The 23,228-nt window shown below is 47.0% G+C and overlaps 1 protein-coding gene across 2 annotated transcripts, besides 5 other annotated features; it reads left to right on the top strand.

Annotated features, from left to right (window-relative positions):
- Window positions 168-437: a silencer, noted in NCBI's record as "silent region_13795". NCBI's record gives its function as "represses an Ori minimal core promoter by ATAC-STARR-seq in GM12878 lymphoblastoid cells {active_cell/tissue: GM12878}" and the evidence as "EXISTENCE:reporter gene assay evidence [ECO:0000049][PMID:35858748]".
- Window positions 168-770: a biological region, named in NCBI's record as "NANOG-H3K27ac-H3K4me1 hESC enhancer GRCh37_chr22:42016465-42017066".
- Window positions 169-770: an enhancer, noted in NCBI's record as "NANOG-H3K27ac-H3K4me1 hESC enhancer chr22:42016465-42017066 (GRCh37/hg19 assembly coordinates)". NCBI's record gives its function as "activates a minimal SCP1, AML or CMV promoter by ChIP-STARR-seq in naive H9 embryonic stem cells {active_cell/tissue: H9 hESC(naive)}" and the evidence as "EXISTENCE:reporter gene assay evidence [ECO:0000049][PMID:30033119]".
- DESI1 (desumoylating isopeptidase 1) lies at window positions 188-23,203 on the top strand. Of its 2 annotated transcripts, XM_047441335.1 has the most exons (7): window positions 188-479; window positions 13,370-13,391; window positions 13,602-13,743; window positions 13,900-13,969; window positions 17,078-17,187; window positions 17,850-17,972; window positions 20,041-23,203. In XM_047441335.1, exons 3-7 carry the CDS (start codon window positions 13,706-13,708, stop codon window positions 20,132-20,134), a joined length of 435 nt encoding a protein of 144 aa, XP_047297291.1. In that variant the 5' UTR covers window positions 188-479; window positions 13,370-13,391; window positions 13,602-13,705; the 3' UTR covers window positions 20,135-23,203. The 2 variants fall into 2 exon arrangements, with proteins under 2 accessions (XP_047297291.1, NP_056519.1); NM_015704.3 differs by lacking the exon at window positions 13,602-13,743.
- Window positions 2,043-2,102: an enhancer, noted in NCBI's record as "active region_19124". NCBI's record gives its function as "activates an Ori minimal core promoter by ATAC-STARR-seq in GM12878 lymphoblastoid cells {active_cell/tissue: GM12878}" and the evidence as "EXISTENCE:reporter gene assay evidence [ECO:0000049][PMID:35858748]".
- Window positions 2,113-2,182: an enhancer, noted in NCBI's record as "active region_19123". NCBI's record gives its function as "activates an Ori minimal core promoter by ATAC-STARR-seq in GM12878 lymphoblastoid cells {active_cell/tissue: GM12878}" and the evidence as "EXISTENCE:reporter gene assay evidence [ECO:0000049][PMID:35858748]".
- Window positions 23,204-23,228: the final 25 nt, after the last annotated feature.

Raw genomic sequence — 23,228 nt, 5'->3', positions numbered from 1 at the left:
CGCGTCAGGCTGGCACGCACACTCCCCAACCAGCTTCTACCTATGTCCCTGACGAAAGCCAACCCATCAGCGAGAGCCCCGCCCCCTTCGGCAAAGCCCCGCCCCTTCCTACGTCAGGACTGTAAGCACATGCGCAAAAGTGCATCCCTGCCCCCGCCCCCTCTTCCGTGTGGGCCCTCCCTGTCCCCTCTCTGTCACCTCACAGTAGTCGTTGCCGGTAGCGGGTGTGGGGGCGCGAGCAGCGCAGGGCGGCCTCTCCCCCACCCCTCAGCCCGGGCCCGGGCTCGGTCCCCCCCTCTCCCTCCGCTTCGCACTCCCGTCGGGTACGGGAAGGTCCAAGCCGCTGCCGGGTGCCCGAGGGCCGTCGTGGCCGCCGTCGCCACGGGTCCCAATGGAGCCGCCGAATCTCTATCCGGTGAAGCTCTACGTGTACGACCTGTCCAAAGGCCTGGCCCGGCGGCTCAGCCCCATCATGCTGGGTGAGGGGGAAGGGGCCAGGTGGGCAGGAGGGCGGGAGCCAGGCCAGAGGGTGGCGGCTGGCCGAGGTGGGGAGACTTGGGCCACGACTCACGGGGAGACACATGGCCAGGAGGATGGAAGAAAAGCCGAGTGGAGAAGAGAGTGGTCTGAAGTTTGGGCCATCTGAGCCCCGCTTTAGCCTCGCAGATACCATCCTCACGTTTGAATTCAAGGGGAAGGGATGGAGGAGTCATGCCTCCACCTTGCAGGGGGCTTGGGCAGAAACCGAGCCCTCGAGAGCCCCTTCGACGAGGGTGTGGGGTAAACCAGCGCTGGATCCCGGCGGGTTCTCTGCCTCGCTCGGGTAGCCCAGTGCACTCCTGCCTCCTTGGCGCGGTGTAGGAAAGGTGAGGATGCCTGCCGCGCGGTGCCCCTCGTGGTGACAGAGACACTGCGGAGGTCGGGTGGCTCTCGGAGAACCTTGTCTCAGTGCCAAAAGGAAGCTCCCTTTGCAGTCCCAGGGATAGGTGGGATGGGGGAGATAGAGCTGCCTAGGGACCCAGCCATCGCCCCCAGGTAGGTCAAGTCAGGATAAGAGGAGCCCCGAACTCCAGAATTCACCAAGCAGTCTTCTCCCCACAGTTTCTAAGTTAATTGCTTTTGCTCAAATGGCAAGAAAGCAGTTTTGGGGGAAGTTTGGATGAGGCTGTGTGAATAAGGATTAGTAAAGAAAGTATTTCGGTTGTGCTCCATTAAACTACTTAACTGGCAGGAGAAAAACCAGCCCTCATTCAGTGACGATCACACCTTATTTCAACTTAAATACAGGAATGTCTTGTGTAACACAGGAATTGTCAGGTTTGTAATTTCGGGTAACAATGAGCAGGAAAGAATTCCAATTATTGAAAATTGAAGCTTTGACAGCATCCATTTGAATGGCTAGTTTTTCCTGGCTTCTGTGGAGACACTGGCGAATGATTTAGTTCATCTCTGTGAGACGAGGGGGCAGAGATCAAGTAAGGGAGGCTACTTTTGAGGGCATCCTTCAATGTCCTTGAGTTTCTAATATGTCGTAGTGAATTGAACTTAATCTCACAACCGTGGGTCCATGAGTTGTTTCTATATTTGGCTTCACATCAAAATCATCTAGGGTGCTTGTTAAAAATGCAGATACCCTCATTTCCAACATATATTGTAAATGAGATTAGAAAAAACAAGGTTAGAATAGCTCTTTAAATATGCAAATCAAAGGATATATATGTGCTTGCTTAGGCAAATAATTATCCGTAAGGATACACAAGAAATTGATAACAGCAGTAGCTTATGGAAAGGGGAACTTGATGCCAGGGGAACAGGGGTAGAAGAGAAACTTTGCTGTAAACTGTTTCTTACCTCTGGACCTGTGTATTACATACACATAATATCTATTTAAAATGAGAAAATTTTAATTATATGGATTCTAAGGCTTCACAAATACTAAATCAGAATCTCCTGGAGTTTTGGTCCAAAAATCTGTATTTTTAATGAGCTTATCAGCTAATTCTTATGTAGCCAACCCATTATTTGACAGGGATTTGGGCCTAGATAACCAGTTGTTAAAATGATTGAGGCACATCTGAAAGCAAAACTTACAAAGTCACTGAGGAAGCTGTTACTCATTAATAGATTACATCAGTCAAGTGTTTTTTTTTTGTTGGTTTTTTTTTTTGAGACGGAGTCTCGCTCTGTCACCCATGCTGGAGTGCAGTGGCACGATCTAGGCTCACTGCAAGCTCCGCCTCCCGGGTTCACGCCATTCTCCTGCCTCAGCCTCCCGAGTAGCTGGGACTACAGGCGCCCGCCACCACAGCCGGCTAATTTTTTGTATTTTTAGTATAGACGGGGTTTCACTGTGTTAGCCAGGATGGTCTCGATCTCCTCACCTTGTGATCCGCCTGCCTTGGCCTCCCAACGTGCTGGGATTACAGGCGTCAGCCACCATGCCCAGCCCACATCAGTCAAGTTTTAACTAAACTTCTTGGAATGGAGCCATTTAGTTGTTTGTTTTTTTATCATAGTGAGGAATCAGATATTTCCTATACCCCACGTAAAACCTCCCCCTTTACACTGGGTATTTTTTATCCTATTACCTAATAATTATTGGGCAGCTGAAAGGAGCCTTAGGAGTCATTATTTCATTCATTCAGCAGATGTTTATTGAGCGTCTGCTCTATGCTAGTCAACGTGTTAAGGTAAATGAGGTTGATATAATGAACAAAGATGTTCTTTGCCATCATGGAGCTATCTAATGGGGGAGACATTAAAAATAAATACATAAATAATTAGTTACAAATTGCATAAGTGCCTTCTGCACAGGAAGCACACTGGGTGCTGTGATAGAAAATAACAAGAGAGACCTTTTTTTTTTTTTTAGACGAGTCTTGCTCTGTTGCCCAGGCTGGAGTGCAGTGGGGTGATCTCAGCTCACTGCAACCTCTGCCTCCCAGGTTCAAGTGATTCTCCTGCCTCAGCCTCCAGAGTAGCTGGGATTACAGGCGCATGCCACCACACCTGGCTGATTTTTATATTTTTAGTAGAGACAGGGTTTCACCATGTTTGCCAGGCTGGTCTTGAACTCCTGACCTCAAGTGATCCGCCCGCCTCAGCCTCCCAAAGTGCTAGGATTACAGGCATGAGCCACTGCACCCAGTGAAGAGACCTATTTTAAATAAGGGTATCAAGGGTAGTGACTTTGAAAGTGGGAATTTAGGATGAGGAAGAAGTAGCCACAGGAGGGTAGTAAGGGAGTAACAGTGTTCCAGGTAGGAGAAAGATCAACCTGCCAAAGCCCTGAGACAGGAAAGAGTCTGGCCTGATACTGGAACTGAAAGAAGGCTTTTGTGGAGTGTAGTGGGTGAAGGGGAAAGTGCTGTAACTGAAGATGGAGTAATAGACCTGCCCCCTTCCCACTCCCCGCCCTTTTATATAGATGTAAAGTCCTGGAATGCCTCAGCCAAACATGGGAACATCACCCATTCATTGGGCACATCAGATTCTGATCTGAGGAAATCACCTTGTGTGCTAATCTACTTCTGTCTTCTCTACCTCTTTTTTCCATATTGCTTTTATACCTTTTGCAAAATTAATGAAGAAAGAATTAGCAAAGCTAGTAGTCATTACTTTCTAGAGTTGAACACTTAAGGAAAATAGGCATGGTCTTACTGATTCATCCCATTCAGACAACACAAATCTTGAAGTTGGGTATGTCCCAGTGCTATAAGTAGCCATATATTGATTTCCCATTCCTAAATACATTTGAACCTTTAAAAAATCAATTTGTTTCCTGATTTTTATGATGAATTCTAGAAGTATATTAATAGCCACTATTTATTGAGAGCTTACCATGTGTCAGACCCTTTTTTTCTGAGTACTTTGCGTGCATTATAATCCTCACCACAACTTTGTGAGATAAGTCCTGTTATTGCCTCCATTTTCTTGATTGAAGAACCTGAGAAGTAGAGTGTTAAGGAATTTGCCCCAGGTCCCAGAGCTACTAGGTGGTAGAGCTGGGTTATGAACACAGGCAGTCTGACTTCCAGAGCTCGCGTTCTCTGTCATTTTGAGATACCACCTCTGTGTAATACGTTCCTTTAAAATTGAAGTAAAGTAGATGCCTTCCTGAAGTTTGTAAAGGCATCCTTTGCCAAATGTTTCAAGTTTGGATGAGAAAAAAAGCTGGGTTCAATGTGTATGTGCCACTTACAATCTAGATTTATGATCATGCCTCTTAGTCTCCATTTTCCCAAATTAAATCCATGTGATCTCATCTGCAGTACCCTCTCAGGCTTCAGTTATGTCAGTTCTCCAATGGGAGACCTCATCTAGCTCTGTCGCAGTTCAGGATTAGACTAGATAAAGCCCAAGGTAATTCCCCTTTCCTGAAGCAATGTAAATTCCGTAGTTTTAGCCTGTCCTGTTTTCAGCCTCCTGGAATTGCCTCAAGTGAAGGCATTACTGTTCTATAGCTTTTCATTCACTATGAAAAATGGTCCCAAAATTATCTTCAGCATTCTAATTGAGCAGATAGCCTCATTGCACCTTTTTTCATAGTCACCAATTGCCTAAAATAATTAGCTATTATAAGTGTCCTTCAGTTCCTCCTCTTAATAATTTTGGCTGCTCTTTAAGTTTCTTGACCTCTTTTTGTGCCACAGTACATGCAGAAGTGTGTGTGTGTGTGTGTGTGTGTGTGTGTGTGTGTGTGTGTTTTAATTGTGGTAAGAAGTACTTCATATTTGTTTATTATTTTCTGATCAGAAGTTTCGTGTACATGCATCACGTTTATTTTTCTTTACAAGCCCATTTCAAAACTGTTTTCAGACTTAAAGATTTGGAGACATAGAATATATAAATTGCTTGGCAGAATGAATTCTAATGAATATTAGAGATTTTACACTATACTCAATTCTTTACTTCATTTTGTAGTACAAATAGTAATGAAATAAAAGATATGACGTGAACTCTGTCCTCCAGGAATTTTTCTTTTTTTGAGGCAGAGTTTCACTCTTGTTGCCCAGGCTGGAGTGTAATGACACGATCTCGGCTCACTGCAACCTCCGCCTCCTGGGTTCAGGCAGTTCTCCTGCCTCAGCCTCCCAAGGAGCTGGGATTACAGACATGTGCCACCATGTCCAGCTAATTTTTCTATTTTTAATAGAGACTGGGTTCCACCATGTTGGTCAGGCTGGTCTCAAACTCCTGATCTCAGGCGATCCACCCACCTTAGCTTCCCAAAATGCTGAACAAACCCCCCTCCCAAAGTAAGGCATGAGTCACCATGCCCAGCCCAGGAGTTTTTCTTAAAATATTATTTTCCTTTAAATAATGAATGTACACATATAACATTTGATAACAATATAAAACAGATTATGATTAGGTGCCAAAGTGAGTGAGTGGTGCATGAACTATGTTAGGCTTTGAAATAAGAGAGGCCATGGTGAGCTGAGCATGTCAGAGAGGCTTTGGCAAGAGCCTGGAGCTCCTGGAGGGCAAGGACTCTGTCCCCTTCCTATATGTCCCCAGTGGCCTGTTGGAGCAGGTGTTCAGTAAGTATTGATTATAGAAATGATTGAGACTTGAACTTAAGCTTGAAGATTAAGTAAAATTTATTCAAATCTGAGAGAGGTTTTTTCTGTTTTAATGCCATCTATTGTGCTTTGTTTTTGATTTTTGTTCACTGTGTGAACTGTTTTATACTCATCTAATGAATTAATTTAATAATCATTCAATTTCTTTAAGGCAAAATGGAAAGGAATATGGCTTACAAGGCCCTGCGTGATTCTGCTTTTTTAAATTTTCTTTTTTTTTTTGAGACAGAGTCTTGTTGTGTGCCCAGGCTGGAGTGCAGTGGCGCGTGCCTCCCAGGTTCATGCCATTCTCCTGCCTCAGCCTGCTGAGTAGCTGGGATTACAGGCGCCCGCCACCGTGCCTGGCTAATTTTTTTTTTTTTTTTTTTTTTTTAATTTTTAGTAGAGACGGGGTTTCACCGTGTTAGCCGGGATGGTCTCGATCTCCTGACCTCGTGATCCTCCCGCCTCGGCCTCCCGAAGTGCTGGGATTACAGGCTTGAGCCACCGCGCCCGGCCTGTATTTTTTTTTAGAAGAGACGGGGTTTCACCATGTTAGCCAGGATGGACTTGATCTCCTGACCTCGTGATCCGCCCGCCTCAGCCTCCAAAAGTGCTGGGATTACAGGCGTGAGCCACTGCATGTGGCCTGACCAGTGGTTTTCAAATGCTCTTTAGCTGTGAAACTCTTCCTTGAAATGAAATCTTCTGCAGATATGCATGTGGAAAACAGGTGAAAAGGAACTTTTTTGTTAAAAAAAAAAAAAAGAAGAAGAAAACAAGGTGGGGTGAGGTGGCTTATGCCTGTAATCCCAGCACTCTGGGAGGCCAAGGCGGGTGGATCACCTGAGGTCAGGAGTTTAAGACCAGCCTGGCCAAGATAGTGAAACCCCATCTCTACTAAAAATACAAAAATTAACTGGGCACGGTGGCGCATGCCTGTAATCCCAGCTACTCGGGAAGCTGAGGCAGGAGAATCGCTTGAACTCGGAGGGCAGAGGTTGCAGTGAGCCGAGATCATGCCACTGCACTTCAGCCTGGGTGATAGAGTGAGACTCCATCTCAAAAAAAAAAAAGGATGTAGGCCGGGCACAGTAGCTCACACCTATAATCCCAGCTACTTGGGAGGCTGAGGCAGAAGAATCACTTGAACCCCGGAGACGGAGGTTGCAGTGAGCCGAGATCACGCCACTGCACTCCAGCCTGGGAAACAAAGTGAGACTCTGTCTCAAAAGGAAAAAAGAAAGGATGTAAATTCACTCAATTCATTTTTAATGTTATTGTTGGCTCCAAGTGTTTGGTGGATGAATGAATAAGTGAAAGAATGAACAGGCTGGGTGCAGTGGTTAACCCCTGTAATCCCTGCACTTTGGGAGACCGAGGCGGGTAGATCACAAGGTCAGGAGTTTGAGACCAGCCTGGCCAGCATGGAGAAACCCCGTCTCTACTAAAAATACAAAAAATTAGCCGGGCATGGTGGCGAGCTCCTGTAATCCCAGCTACTCGGGAGGCTGAGGCAGGAGAATTGCTTGAACCCGGGAGGCGGGGGTTGTAGTGAGCCATGATTGCACCGCTGCACCCCAGCCTGGACAACAGAGCGAGACTCCGTCTTAAAAAAAAAAAGAAAGAATGAATAAATAAGGGGATCTTTTTTCTATAGTCCCTATCTCCACTCTATGAATGGATGAGATCCTAAGTGTACCTTGATGCAGTTGAATAGGAAGTGTGGCGTGTAGCTTACAGGCAAATTCAGTGATGATACAAAGGATATAAAGGAGAATAAAGTAGGGTTTGTATCCTGCAACTTTTGAGTTGTTTTTCAGGTGTGAAATAACTGAGGCCCCTCTTCAAAAATCTGTTTAGTAGGAATGGGTTTGAGCTGATGATACATCCATACCTGCCAGCTGTACTCCTGAGTCAGTGAGCATGCGCATCTGAGAAGACAGCAGTAGACTGGGAGTGCAGTATGCCAGGGTGGCAGAGTCATTGCAATAACAAGCCAGGCAGCCCAGATTGGGGTTAGGAACTTTGTCCTCAATAGCACTGTGTGTCAACCAACAAAGCTAACTAAACAGAACAGCTCATCTCAACAGATGTTCATGTCACATCTCAGGACCAGGTCCTTTGCTAGGTGCTGGAGTTATAAAGATACATAAGAAACTGTCCTGGTTACTGAGGCAACTGTAGTCTAACTGGGGAGAAGGACACGTGAATAGTTTCAATACCAGGGTACTATGAGAACAACTATAAAACTTTCAAATTATAAACCCTAGAAGAAATGAGTTAGCCTTTATTGGGCATGTATTATGTCCCAGACCCTGTGCTACGCATGTGTCATGTATCGTCTCTTTTAATCCTGGAAATGTTATGAGGCAGGCAGTGTTATTATGCTTTTTTTTACAGAATAGGAAACTATAGTTTAAACAGTGCGTCCAATAGAACTTTCTGCAGTGATGGAAATGTTCTAGATCTGCACTGTCCAGTAAGTAAACACTAGTCACATGTGGCTATTGAATACCTAAAATGTGGTTAGTGGAACTGAGGGACTGAATTTGTGCATTTATTTAACTTAAATAGCCACATGTGGTCAGTGGTCACCATATTGGACAGCTCAGGCTTAGTGTTCTCAGCCTCTGCAGTGTTCTCTGTGATCTGGTCCTCCATTACCTCTGGTCATCTTCTACTTCCCCTCCTCACCCATTCTAACTTCACTGGCCTCCTTACAGGCCTTCAGATAAACCTGGCATGTCATTGCCCCTGCATCCCTCTTTCCCTTGCCTCCTTTAAATCTTGGCTCAAAGCTGGGCCTGGTGGCTCACGCCTGGAGGTGGGAGGATCACTTGAGCCCAGTAGTTCAAGTCCAGGCTTGACAACATAGGGAGACGCCGTCTCAAAAAAAAAAAAAAAAAAGTAGGCCTGGGTGGTACACATATAGTCTCAGCAACTGGGAAGCTGAAGTGGGAGGATCACTTGAGCCTGGGAGGTCAAGGCTGCAGTGAGCTTTGATCGCGTTACTGCACTCCACCCTGAGTAGCAGAGCAAGACCCTGTCTCAAAAAAAAAAAAAAAATCTTCACTCAAATATCACATTCTCAAAGAGGCCCACCCTGATCATCCCTGAAACTCCCTTAACCTACTCTTTTTTTTTTTTTTCTTTTTTTGAGACAAGAGTTTTGTTCTTGTCGCCCAGGCTGGAGTGCAGTGGTGCAATCGCAGCTCACTGCAACACCTCCCGGGTTCAAGTGATTCTTCTGTCTCAGCCTCCCGAGTAGCTAGAATTACAGGTGTGTGCCACCATGCCTGGCTAATTTTTGTACTTTTAGTAGAGATGGGGTTTCACCATGTTGGCCAGGCTGGTCTCGAACTCCTGACCTCAGGTGATCCGCCCGCCTCTGCCTCCCAAAGCGCTCGGATTACAGGCGTGAGCCACTACGCCCAGACCCCCTTAACCTACTCTTGTTCGTTCTATACCATTCACTATTGCTAACATGTTATGACTTATTATCATCATTATTATTATTGACTGTCCCCTCCCCCCACCTAGTAAGTGTCATGAAGGAGGTTTTTGTTTACTGATGTATCCTTAGTGCCAAGGATAGTGCCTGGAAGGTAGTAGTCACTCAATAAACCATTAGTTCACCGTTTAAGCCAGTAGGATTCACACCCAACCTGTCTACACCAGAACCTGTGTTCTTATTCACTATATTGTACTTCCTCCTTGTAAGCGTAGCATTCCTCACAAAGTAAATGAGAAAAGCTTCATTTGAAAGGAACAGGGGCCAGGCGCGGTAGCTCACGCCTGTAATCCCAGCACTTTGGGAGGCCGAGGCGGGCGGATCACGAGGTCAGGAGTTTAAGACCAGCCTGGCCAACATGGTGAAACCCCATATCTACTAAAAATAGAAAAATTAGCCAGGCGTGGTGGTGAGCGCCTGTAGTCCCAGCTACTTAGGAGGCTGAGGCAGGAGAATCACTTGAACCTGGGAGGCGGAGGTTACAGTCAGCCAAGATCACACCATCGTACTCCAGCCTGGGCAACAGAGTGAGACTGTCTCAAAAAAAAAAAAAAAAAAAAAGAAGGAACAGGTAAGAGAAAGCAGGTATCCTTAATTTCTCCAGTTTCACTGAACTATTAAATGTCTTCACGTAAATAAACAAATTGCAGCCATTTAAACAGCTGATTTATAAATGACAGTTCAGAAGGGCACATCAGCTCTATTTAAAATGCAGTGTTAGGCCACATAGAGTGGCTCACACCTGTAATCCCAGTACTTTGGGAGGCTGAGGAGGGCAGATCTCCTGAGGTCAGGAGTTCGAGACCAGCCTGGGCAACATGGTGAAACCCAATCTCTACTAAAAATACAGAAATTAGCTGGGCATGGTGGCGCACACCTGTAATCCCAGCCTGTACTTGGGAGTCTGAGGCACCAGAATTGCTTGAGCCCAGGAGGCGGAGGTTGCAGTGAGCCAAGATCGTGCCACTGCACTCCAACCTAGGCAATAGAGTGAGACTCTGTCTCAAAAAAAGGAATGTTAGTCTCCCCATTTTACATATAGTAAACAGGAAAGAGGAGATTTAGTATCTTATAGCCCAGTGGAACCCAGGGTTTGAAGATGCTCGTCCTAAATGGATTACCACTCCCCTTTGGCATCCAGTCTGGTTCTCATCAACCACTGTGAAATTTCACCTCAGTTTGGATAAGGTCAGAACCTGCCTCACATTCTTTAGGGTGCTATCCCCAGAAACCCCTGGCTAGGATCCCTCTATCCACTTGTGGTCTTTTTTTTTTTTTTGAGACAGAGTTTCGCTCTTTTCACCCAGGCTGGAGTACAATGGCGCCATCTCAGCTCGTCGCAACCTCCGCCTCCTGGGTTCAAGTGATTCTTCTGCCTCAGCCTCCCAAGTAGCTGGGATTACAGGCGCCTGCCACCACGCCCAGCTAATTTTTGTATTTTTAGTAGAGACGGGGTTTCATCATGTTGGCCAGGCTGATCTCAAACTCCTGACCTCAGGTGATCCACCACGCCCGGCCCACTTGTGGTCTTCCGGGCCAGAGCAGCAGATCTCTTGGTGAAAAGCAGACTGATCTCTGGAATTGGAACAGAGGCAGAAGTACTCCGCTACATTTCATTTTCTTGTTATTCCATTTAGCCTGGGAACACTAACAGCAAAGAATGGAATTTTACATGTAAAATAGATATAGCATTTCATATTAATTTGCTGGATGTTGAAATCTGTTCTTAGATTTTACTTACCAATACTGAAGTAGAATTTTTTTTTTTTTTGAGACAGAGTCTCACCCTGTTGCCCAGGCTGGAGTACAGTAGTGGCACGATCTCGGCTCACTGCAACCTCCACCTCCCAGGTTCAAACGATTTTCCTGCCTCAGCTTCCCGAGTAGCTGGGATTACAGGTGCCTGCCACCATGCCCAGCTAATTTTTGTATTTTTAGTAGAGACAGGGTTTCACCATGTTGGTCAGGCTAATCTTGAACTCCTGACCTGTGATCCGCCTGCCTCGGCCTCCCAAAGTGCTGGGATTACAGGCGTGAGCCACCGTACCTTGTCTTTTTTTTTTTTTTTTTTTAAGATAGAGTTTTGCTCTTGTTGCCCAGGCTGGAGTGCAATGGCGCAATCTCGGCTCACTGCAACCTCTGCCTCCTGGGTTCAGGCGATTCTCCTGCCTCAGCCTCCCGAGTAGCTGGGACTATAGGCATGCACTACCATGCCCGGCTAATTTTGTGTTTTTAGTAGAAACGGGGTTGTTGACCAGGCTGGTCTCGAACTCCTGACCTCATGTGATCTGCCCGCCTCGGCCTCCCAAAGTGCTGGGATTACAGGTGTGAGCCACCACACCTGGCCTATTTTTTGTTTTATTTGAGACAGGGTCTCACTCTGTTGCCCAGGCTAGAGTACAGTGGCGCAATCTCGGCTCACTGCCTCCCAAGTTCAAGCAATTCTCGTGCCTCAGCCTCCTGAGTAGCTGGGACTACAGGTGCATGCCACCACACCCAGAGAGTTTTTTTATTTTTATTTTTAGTAAAGACTGGGTTTCTCTGTTGGCCAGGCTGGTCTTGAACTCCTGGCTTCAAGTAATCTGCCTGCCTCGGCCTCCCAAAGTGCTGGGATTACAGGGGTGGGCCACTGTGACATGTCTGAAGTAGAATTTATTTTTATCTTCTGGAAGTCTTTACCCTTTTCCCCAAGGAGGTCATTGTACCTAATAAGAGCCTCCATTTATCAGACATCTGTATATCACATACTGTGAAGCTTTCTATACATTAACATTACCAGTCACAGCAACTCTGAACTGGAGAAACAGACTTAAACAGGCTGGGTAAACTTGCCCAAGATCCACCACTAGGAAGTGGAAAATCCAGGATCTGAACCCATATGGTCCCCTTAACTATCTCTGAGGATGCTATGCCAAGTGTGTGGTGGCTCATGCCTGTAATCCTAGCACTTTGGGAGGCTGAGGCAGGTGGATCACTTGAGGCGAGGAGTTCGAGACCAGCCTGGCCGACATGGCAAAATCCTGTCTCTACTAAAAATACAAAAATCAGCCGGGCTTGGTGGTGCATGCCTGTAATCCCAGCTACTTGGGAGGCTGAGGCATGAGAATCACTTGAACCCGGGGGGCAGAGGTTGCAATGAGCCGAGATCACGTCACTTCACTCCAGCCTGGGCAACAGAGAGACTCTGCCTCTAAAAAAAAGAAAGGCACAGGGCAAACAGCGAAGGTAGCAGTTAGCAATCAGTAATCTGCCATGTCGCCGTGTGAAGTGATAAGCAGGAGTGAGTGGGTGATGTTTGCTGACACTCCACGTCTTTCAATGCCCTTCCTCTGCCTCCTGAGCACTGCTGTAGAGTATCTCTCATGGACTCTTGTGATGGTCTGCTTGGTCTGCTCTCTTCCCTCCAATTCATCTGCTATCCCACAACTACAGTTATCTTTTCCGAACATGGATCTGATCAAGGCACTCTCCAGCCTCACAGCCTCTTTGAGTCCAGGCCTGCCCGCTTTGCTGGCCATCCTGTTGGCCGCTCCTCCCCTTGGCACCATCACTGCCCCCTTCACTCTGCCCTGCAGGCTTTAGACTTCACAGCCATGCATGTGCACATCTTGTTCTCTCCCACAGAAATGTCCATCCCTGCCCTTACTTGTCATTGGTAATGGAAGCTCACAAAAGTAGTTTATTATATTTAGTACCTTATTTTTACCACTATGATACAGCATATTAACATTGTGTTTTAGTTAATTATTTGTGTGTCTCAGTCCATTTGACTTTGAGCTTCTCAAGGGCAGGAAAGTGATACGTTCCTGTTTGCATTTCCACACCTAACATTGTTTCTGGCACATAGAGGTAGAATAACGTGCTTTAACTATTTAAATGGATAGCATTTGCAAAGTTTTATCCTATCAGTTTCTGAAGGATTTCACCTCAATGAAGAAATGAGTAATAACATTCATTGTATTACTATAGTCTTACTGTACGTGAGACAGAGAAGTTAAAAAGGCATAGCTGAATTGACCCCAAAGAGGAAAGAATAGCAGACATAAAACTGGGGTACCTTTATACTAGTGTTTTTAATCTTGCATTCTGATAAAAGACTCTCATTACTTTTCAACTTACTTACACTCTGTCACAACCTAAAGACCTTACTGGAGGGGACTTGCATTCCTAGAAAGTCCCTCAAGAGGTTTATGACAGGTTACCCTGGGTTTGAGTGATGTCATGAATTTACCAAGGCTGAGGGGCCACTTATTCTAGTCCCAAGTGGCTAAATCTCTTCTTCTCTCCACAGGGAAACAACTGGAAGGCATCTGGTAAGTTGGGTGGGTCTCCTTACTTTGACTAGTTTTGAAACAAGGCAGCACTCTATGCATTTCAGGTTCTAGTCTGTGGCTTCCAGCATGAAACCTAGCTCTCCATGCTATAAATCTTCAAGCCCTAAAGCAGTGCTTCTCATCAGTTCTTTTGCTCTCTCACCCTGGGACATTTGGCCATGTCCAGAGATATTTTTGGTTGTCATACAGGGAGGAGGATGCTACTGGCATCTTGTGGATAGAGGCAGGGACGCTGCTCAACAGACTAGAATGCACAGGACAGCCCCACACAACAAAGAAGTATCCAGCCTCAAATGTCAATAGTGCCAAGATTGAGAAGCCCTGATCTGTGGTATTTATCATATTCATACCTTTGGTTTGTTGGTTTTATAAGACTGGTCCCCACAGTCCTATCCTTGGGCAGAAATTACTCTCATTGCATTATGGTGTTTGCTTTTTCTCAAAAGTTTAAGTTTTCTGGCTTACTGTGTCTCTCTCTGTGTGACAGGCACACATCCATAGTTGTGCACAAGGATGAGTTCTTCTTCGGCAGTGGTGGTATCTCCAGCTGCCCCCCGGTGAGTGTCTTCCCCTACACTCTGTCCTGCAGTCTCAGGTTCCTGGGGGCTCCTGTAGACCAGGAGCTTTGCTTCTACTATGGACTTCTGGCATTGTTCCTCAAAGCCACCTGAAGACTTGGCTCAATAAAACCTTTCCCAGACACCCCAGCCAGTTCCTCTCCTCTCTGTTCCCATGGCACGTGTGGGTCCTTCTGTCTCACAGAGAGCATGTTATGGTGAAATGAGCTGTTTCTGGTTCTCCACAGGGAACTGTGTAAGCTCCTTGCGAGCTGAGACCTTCCATCTCCATCCCCTGCACAGTGTCCGGCTCATCCTAGGAACGCAACTGATGTTAAGCTGAATGATGAGGGCTCTGAGAAGCATCAAGACTTGCCCAAACTTAAACAGCCAATAAGGGACACCAGTCCTAGAACCCAGGATTATCACACTAAAGCCCACACCCTTTTCCGAAAATTTCTTTTTTTTTTTTTTTTTTTTTTTTTTTTGAGATGGAGTCTCGCTCCGTCGCCCAGACTGAAGTGCAGTGGTGCGATCTCGGCTCACTGCAAGCTCCGCCTCCCGGGTTCGCGCCATTCTCCTGCCTCAGCCTCCCGAGTAGCTGGGATTACAGGTGCCTGCCACTACACCCAGCTAATTTTTTGTATATTTTAGTAGATACGGTGTTTCAGCATGTTGGCCAGGCTGATCTCAAACTTCTGACCTCGTGATTAGCCCACCTCGGCCTCCCAAAGTGCTGGGATTACAGGCGTGAGCCACAGCGCCCAGCCTTTTCCAAAAATTTCTATCAGCTATCCAAGTGTTGTCACAGTAGGTGCTCAAGCAATGGCCAAGCAGCCATTCATTTTGGTTGTGTGTTTGTTTGTTTTTGCTACATCCTACAGGAAGGATTTTTTTTTTTTTTTTGAGACGGGGTCTTGCTCTGTCACCCAGGCCAGAAATGCAGTGGCACAGTCTTGCTTACTGCAGCCTCCACCTCCCAGGCTCAATGAATCCTCCCACTTGAGCCACCTGAGTGGCTAGGACTCAGCACCACCACGCCCTGCTATTTTTTTCTATTTTTTTAGAGATAGGATCTCCCTATGTTGCCCAGACTGATCTCAAACTCCTGGGCTCAAGCAATCTACTGCATAAGCCAGAATTCTCCCATTGCTTTTGGAATAAAAGCCAGAAAACTCAGCATGGCCTCCCAGGACCTACCTGATCTGGTCTCTGACTCTGACTCTGGCCAGCCTCTTTTAGGTTGTTCCCTCCCAACCCTCACTCTCTTCTCATTCTTTGAACACACCGTAGACATTGAAACCTGCACTCTGACATCAGTACACCTTCTTGATCCTTCACCTGGTTACGCCTCTCCATCCTTCAGATTTGAGTTGTGTCACTTTCTCAGGCAAGTCTTCCCTGATCCCTCAGACCGGGAAGGTCTCCTGTCATACGTACTGTTGGCATTCTGTACTTTTCCAGCCTCCCCTTAATTGCAGCTCATAATTATATACTGGTTAAGGGGATTTTTCAGTTTCCCTTCCCTGCTACACTAAGCTTCTTAACGGCAAGAATCTCATCTATTTTGTCCACACCACAGCCCCAGTGCCTAGCATAAGGCCTGACACATAATAAGTTCTCAATCCATAGTTGTTATATGAGTGAATAAGAGGGGTCAAAGAGTGACCTTTTAGTTTCTTACAACTCTGAGATAATTGTTCTCTGCCTACCATGGTTATCTTGCTCACCATGCTTTCCTCAGTGCCCAGAACAATGTCAGCTATGTAGGAGGTGCTCAGTGGCTATGAATGAATGATCTTTTCAGGGAGCTCTGTTCTGGAGTGTTATCCCTTCCCAGATTTGTTCTCCTGCTGATCCCGTTGCTTCCCCAGTGGCTGGTTTCCCCACTCAACCTCAGTCTCTCCTTCAGTTTTCTCTGGCAGTCTGTTAACCACATGGCTGAGGGTTTTCTGTAGGCCTTTCGGGAGCCATTAACTCCCTTGCCCTATGATGGTGATAGGGCAAGGATTAGGCTCACAGATCCAAAAAGAACTGAATTATGGAAATATCTGCCAGCCTGCCAGATTTCTCACCGTCCTCGTTTTTCCATTATTACACGGGATATCAAGTATATCATAAGAAAAACTGGCTGCATACTTTATGCAAATAGGCATGGAGAGATGGCCTGTGAAGTGTGAGCCATTTCTGTTGTCCTGTTCTGTCCTCATGATGAGACATACTGGGGACAAAAGTAGACTTCAGATTCTGGGTTTCTCTTTCTCAGCTGAGTAAGTGGACAGCATCAGGAGTCAGAGCTGCAAGAGAATCAGCTTCCCAGGGCCCCCCCTCCCCTCTAGAAACAAGAAGTCCGACTCCTAACTATGCTGCCAGCACATGGCAATGAAAAGTGACCAGAAAGCTCTAAGCCAAGCTTGTCCAACCTGCAGCCTGTGGGCCATACGCAGCCCAGGACAGCTTTGAAAGTGGCCTGACGTGAATTTGTAAAGTTTCTTAAAACATGAGATTTTTTTATCTTTTTTTTTTTTTAAGCTCATCAGCTATCATTAGTGTTAGTGTATTTTGTGTGTGGCCCAAGACCATTCTTCTTCCAGTGTGCCTCAGGGAAGCCAAAGGATTGGACACCAATGCTTCTAAGCTATTGCATCCTTGATACAAATAGCAAATCACATTCTTCATCTGCCCAGGGTGCTCTGCAAGTTAAATATGAAGTCAGGCTGGGCGCAGTAGCTCACACCTGTGATCTCAGCACTTTGGAAGGCCGAGGTGGGTGGATCACTTAAGGTCAGGAGTTTGAGACCAGCCTGACCAACATGGTGAAACCCTGTATCTACTAAAAATACAAAAAATTATCTGGGCATGGTGGCAGGCACCTGTAATCTCAGCTACTTGGGAGGCTGAGGCAGGAGGATCACTTGAACCCGGGAGGCGGAGGTTGCAGTGAGCTGAGATTATACTCCAGCCTGGGTGACGAGAGAAACTCCGTCTAAAAAAAAAAAAAAAAAAAAAAAGTCAGAACAGAGTGTTTGTGGTCTACTGTGGGAAGCCACATTAAAACATTCAGTGGAGATGGTAACTTAATGACTTCCTTTGGGTTGGCTCTTTTAGGGAGGGACATTGCTTGGGCCTCCAGACTCTGTGGTTGATGTGGGGAGTACAGAAGTCACAGAAGAAATCTTTCTGGAGTACCTCTCCTCCCTGGGGGAGTCCCTGTTCCGGTGAGTGGAGACAGGGGTGGTGGTTAGTTGTGTCTGTCTCCCCAGCTAGATAATAACCCCTGGAGGCAGCTGCCATGTCATATCATCCTTATCACTCAGCACAAGGCCTGGCCCAGTTTTTTGCTGAATTAACATGAAGAAAAGGCAGTTATGCTACAAAAAGCTCTAAGTTGTTCTGATACAGATATTCCTTCAAACATACTTTCTGCCGAAATTTTTAGAGGAAATAAGGGCTTTTCATTCCTTCTGATTAAAATCGGCAAGCGCTGTTCTCAACCTGTATTGGCCAAGTTTGCAGAAGGAAAAACAGGGTTTGCAGAAGGGTTGGGATGAAATACAAACTTGAGCAGATTTTCTCTGAAAGAGGCTTTAGTCAGTTTCAGTAAGGGGGTAAACTCTTAACACCAGAGTTCTGCTTTCGTGAATGTAAAGATTCTCCTGAAACTGTGTAGGAGCCATGTCTTTTCAGTTTCTCCTTCCCTTAAAAATCAGTTATTAATGGCCAGAATGGCAAATAAGCAGTGCTTTTCTGGTGTATGAGACGGGGGAAATCGCAATCCTCACATTGAGCTGTGCTCACCATTCCACTGCCTAGCTTGAGTTATTCCACATAGACGCTTGCTGGTTTCTCATATATGTTCTGCAAACCTTTCAATGTACAGAGGTGAGGCCTACAACCTCTTTGAACACAATTGTAACACCTTCAGCAACGAAGTGGCACAGTTCCTGACTGGGCGGAAGATTCCTTCTTACATCACAGACCTGCCCTCTGAAGTTCTCTCCACGTAAGTGTGGCCTCTGTCCCTGCCCCTGCCTTGGCCAACCTTGAAAATCCCCATTCACGGTCAGTGCCCTTCCTCTGGCCCCCATCTGCCCTCCCAACCAGGTGGGCCTGCCCTGATGGCAGATTCTAACACAGAAGGCTGCCATTCTCTCCACCCACTGATGCGCACCTGTATTACCTCCACCTTCAGAGCTAGACCAGCTCTGCCCTGGCCTAAGTGCAACCACAGAACTTAGACACCCACTTGACACTGGCTTCAGTACTTGCACAAAATTCTGGCGTCTGTCCTTCCCATTGTGCTCGAAGCATGCCACTCCCCAGAAGCACCCAGTTAAAATGCAATGTTAGACAAGCAGAGAGGGGGTCAGAAAAATAGTAGGGGGGCTTGTTTTGTAGCTGTTGATTTGCCTTACACTGCACCATGAACTCTTTGACTCCCTCAACGACTATGTTCTACTTGCCCTCATGTATTACAGCACAGTCTTCAACAGATGTTTTCTTCAAGAACACTCTGCAGCCCGTTCTGTCCTGATGTGCCCCAAGCCTTGGAAGAGCCTTGCAGGCCATCATCCAGGCAGTATACCCCGAAAGGACACAACACCCCCAAAGCCATCTCACCTCCTCCCTCTTGTCGTTGATTGCATTCAGGCAGCCTCTGCTCATTCCAGGACCATGTCTATTTGCTTATTCTGACTCAGTTTCTCCTGAACTATGGCCTTATTTAACAGAGATCCTGGCAGGTTTCGCAGGCCCAGCAAGGTGGGCTGTTTTTTATATCTGAGGAAGCACCTCCCAGGAAGAGCTTGCATAGGAAACAAGACTGCTGTGGCAGGCTGGTGAGGAGCCCCAGTCCGCCAGCCCTGGCCCTGCCTTCCTATCATTCGATGAGTTTGCAGTCCCACAGCTCTGCTGAGGGATCTAGGTTATGGGGCCCTGAGCAAACTGGAGTAGCCAGAATGTGCTTGCTGTTATTATTTTATGGGTGGAGTTCCTGGAATTGTCTGAATTAGGTTTGATATTTCTAGGTTTCATCTGTCTATACTTTGGAGTACTTCATTCCTTTAAACTTGGAGATGATTTTCAAAAATGGCAGTATCCACTGAAGAAAAAGCCAGTGACTTAAAAGTTTCTGGGCAACCTTATTTATGGTTGTCGTAATCATGGAAAATCTCCAAACTCCAGTATTTGTAGTTTTTTTTCCATCTGTTACTATGAGAGCAACCTAGGAGCCCTTTAGAAAGGCATTAATGGCTGGGCCCAGTGGCTTATGCCTGTAATCCCAGCACTTTGGGAGGCCGAGGCAGGCAAATCACTAGGTCAGGAGTTCGAGACCAGCCTGGCCAACATGGTGAAACCCCATCTCTACTGAAAATAAAAAATTAGCCAGGCGCAGTGGCACACGCCTGTAATCCCAGCTACTTGGGAGGCTGAGGCAGGAGAATTGCTTGAACCTGGGAGGCAGAGGTTGCAGTGAGCCGAGATCACGCCATTGCACTCCAGCTCTAGGCTAGAGGTAGACTCTGTCTCGGGGTGAAAGAAAGGCATTAATACTGGCAACCTAGCATTTGTCATTTTTCCAGAATATTCCCTGTACTCCCTGGCAGACCTCTGTTCCTGAAAAAAATCCAGTTGTTTGCTGTCCTCACCCCTTTGTCTTCTTTTTCATATCCTTCTTCTTTTGCCTCAGTTTCCCTGCTTAAATTTGATCTTTTCCTTGCTCACAAGAATTAAAGACACAAGCACATAGAGCACAGAAAGTTCTAGTTCTCTGTATGTAGCCAGCCTACTCAAACCACAGCTAACCAGGCTCTAGAGGTGAGGCCCTGAGGAGGGAACCCCAGGAATAAAAATACAGAGCAGGCTATTTCGGAGATGCCCTCCAAGAACACTGGTGTGTGAGGCAGGTGGGAAACTTAAGTGAGGTGACGAGGTGCTCTTTCCTTCTCTGCTGGTGCTGCTTCTGCTGCCACCAGCGCCCACTCCTCCTCCCTACCCGTGGGCAGCACAGGGTGTGTGACAGCAGGCCACATCCCAGAGCCCACCCCTCTCATGTCTCTGTTTCCTTGCAGGCCCTTTGGACAGGCACTTCGGCCCCTCCTGGACTCCATTCAGATCCAGCCTCCAGGAGGGAGCTCCGTGGGCAGACCCAACGGCCAGAGCTAACAGGACTGCCTGGGACCGCCCTGCCTCACCAGGGCTTTTCCTTTTTAAACAAAACAAACCCTACCAGATTTCTATTTTATAATTTTACATCAGAGCTAACAACCAGGGGACGGCTTTTTAAATTTCCCAGGGAAGGAGACCGTCAGGCCGCATGTAGACAATGCTGCTAAGAAACAGAACAAAATGCCACCCCTTCTAATAGTATTATACTAATTTATTAAGGCTGTCTTGTCTGTGCGTTCACTTCGGATGCTGTTTCCTAAGCGTCCTCCACACTGGAGAAAGGGAGGGGCTTTGTTTAAACAGAAAGCGAGTCACAGTTTGCGGGAGCCCCAACCTAGAACTCTTTCCAGAGAACACTCACGCTCTACCCAAGTTGCCAACACCTGTGGGACCCAGGTGAGTTTTAGAACATCCGTGACCCAGAAAGTTACTCTAGTGTTAAATGAACCAAAGGATTTGGTGTACATGGGACCGGTTTCAGGATGACTAACCTAACCTAAGTGAACTCTTTAGCCACAACCCTCACCTTCCCTCCCTTACCCCAAGCAAGGCCAGTGCTGGAGCAGCCATTGCCTCCGGATCAAGGGAGTAACAGCAAGTATCAGGCCGGAGAAAACAGGATAAAGCCATTCCTCCTTCCACCTAGATGGATTGCCAATCTTCTGCCATCAATTTTGGGAAACCTGCCTTTGTGCCCCCGAGGCTGCCTTTCCTCAGCATAGCTGACTTGTCATAGTGGATGAGGTCTGGGCTGGAGCAGTAGAAGCCAAGGCCTTTTTTCTGCAAGTAATGATGTAGGTTATTTGCAGTCTCTGTAACCACCATCCAGGCCAGTACGCAGTATTTAGCTGGGGACCAAGGGATGGGATTCCCTACTCTAAGAAAATACCTTTATTTTAATTATTATTATTTTTTGAGACGGAGTCTCGCTCTACCACCCAGGCTGGTGTGCAGTGGCATGATCTCGGCTCACAGAAACCTCTGCCTCCCGGGTTCAAGTGGTTCTCCTGCCTCAGCCTCCTGAGTAGCTGGGATTACAGGTGCGTGCCACCACGCCAGGCTAATTTTTGTATTTTCAGTAGAGACAGGGTTTTGCCATGTTGGCCAGGCTGGTCTGGAACTCCTGACCTCGGGTGATCCACCTCCCTTGGCCTCCCAAAGTGCTGGGATTACAGGCGTGAGCCACCGCTGCCTGGCCAGAAAATACCTTTGATATGGAAAGAATAATGATGTGAGGCCTGGCGCGGTGGCTCACGCCTGTAATCCCAGCACTTTGGGAGGCCGAGGCAGGCAGATCACTTGAGGTCAGGACTTCAAGACCAGCCTGGCCAACATGGTGAAACCCCGTCTCTACTAAAAATACAAAATTAGCCGGGCATGGTGGCGCATGCCTGTAGTCCCAGCTACTCGGGAGGCTGAGGCAGGAGAATCGCTTGAACCCGGGAGGCAGAGATTGCGATGAGCCGAGATCGTACCAGTGCACTCCAGCCTGGGCGACAGAGTGAGACTCCATCTCAAAAAAATAAAATAATGAAGTGGAATCAAGGTGGCAAGAAAATTTAGAATCGTTTCTGATAGGGACTTTCCCTTATCCTAAATGTGTTTTGAAGGCACACGTTATTTCCATTGTCATTCTGACTTTAGAAAGGCAGGTTGGGGCATGAGTGGGCATTTTCCTAATGACTTGCTGCTAGGAGGTTATAGGCAGGGAACAGTCTGGGAGTCTCTAATCCAGAGAGACTTTCAGATTCCCTCTCTTCACATGAACCTCCATTAGTTAGATTTTGGGAAAGTGAGCATGAAGAAGGGACTCAGAGCTGCCAGGTACCCGAGTCTCAGGTCTGACATCCTTGGGCCCCTTCTGCCACAACTTCTTGCCACTTCACGGACTTGAATTATGTTGCTTCTTCCTGGAAGTCTGGCCTGCAGCACAGGCCTTTCCTCTCCAAAAAGCTGCTGCTCATTTCTGGCCCCATCTGCTGCTATCTTTGCCATCAGCCATCACAGTTTGGCATCATCAGAGTCTCAGCTAGAGGAGCTGTCATTCTGCCTTAGTGTTTGCCTGCGACCTGACCAGGGGCATGACCAGCTGGGATGTCAAGTGACATTTGGGAACTTGTAGAGGCCAAATGATTGAAAGTTTAATTCTTCTCAAGACCCACTGATTTGCCAGTGTGCATGGAAATAATAGATTAGAGCAGAAACTAGCAGGGACTGTTGTATAATCGTGATCTACTAGCAGAATTGGGCCCAAAGAGAAAGAATTTCTGAGGCTGGGTTTCTTCTGGGAGGGTAGCAGGTTGGTCTTGGCCAGTGCTCTGTTTCCCACCAGTGTTGTTCCCTTTTCCAGCTTGCCTGGCCCGGCTCTGTCTTCCAGGGTCCTGCTCCAGACCCCTCTGCCTGGGGTCTCCCCTCCATCCAGGGGGTTCTGGGCATCACAGCTCCTTTTTTTCCTTTCTCCTCTTCCAGATCCAGTTTCAGCTGGTTTGCTTCTTCCAGCAGGCACCCTTAGGCCCAGGAGCAGCTCCCCTGAGAGAATTTGAGTCACTCATTTCCTTGAACAGCACCCCCCTTTATACTAGCAGCCATTTGTGCCATTGCCTGTGCCCTAGGGTTTGTGGGGAGAGAGCGAGGGATCACTGAGCAGTTTTCCCAGAGCTCCATGGGAAGGCAAGCTCTCCCTCCCAATGGGAGCCCCACTGTCACTAACTGTAAACTCAGGCTCAGGCTTCAACTGCCTACCCCCATCCTCATATTTCTGTCTGTCCCAGCACCTCAGGAGCATTCTCATTGTGGCCGGCTAACTCCGCCTGGATGTGAACAGGCAAGCACAGTGGGAAATGAGTCACGTACTTGTATTGCACAGTGGACACCTCTAGAGGTCCATTGGTTTAAAGGGATAGGGAAGGAGGAGGGATGAGACCATCACCCCCTCCCAGAAGTAAATCTAGTATCTGAGTTTTCTTTATGCCCTTGAGTCAAACTAATAACTGTCTAGTACGGAGGTGTTTGCTGGTTTTCTTCGGTGTTTTTTCTAATGCAATAAACTCATTTCTGCCTGCTGCATTTGTGTGGTGCCTGAATCAGGTCT

The sequence above is a fragment of the Homo sapiens genome, chromosome 22 (assembly GCF_000001405.40).
Source record: "Homo sapiens chromosome 22, GRCh38.p14 Primary Assembly".
Lineage (NCBI taxonomy): Eukaryota > Metazoa > Chordata > Mammalia > Primates > Hominidae > Homo > Homo sapiens.
Note: the sequence above shows the minus strand (reverse complement) of the source record. Positions and strands in the feature narration are given on the sequence as shown.

Excerpts from the sequence above, each read along its gene's own strand:
- DESI1 (NM_015704.3), top strand. The coding sequence starts at position 392 with ATGGAGCCGCCGAATCTCTATCCGGTGAAGCTCTACGTGTACGACCTG. Across the intron at positions 13,970-17,077 it reads GTATCTCCAGCTGCCCCCCG|GGAGGGACATTGCTTGGGCC; the intron begins GTGAGTGTCTTC and ends TGGCTCTTTTAG. Across the intron at positions 17,188-17,849 it reads CTGGGGGAGTCCCTGTTCCG|AGGTGAGGCCTACAACCTCT; the intron begins GTGAGTGGAGAC and ends TTCAATGTACAG.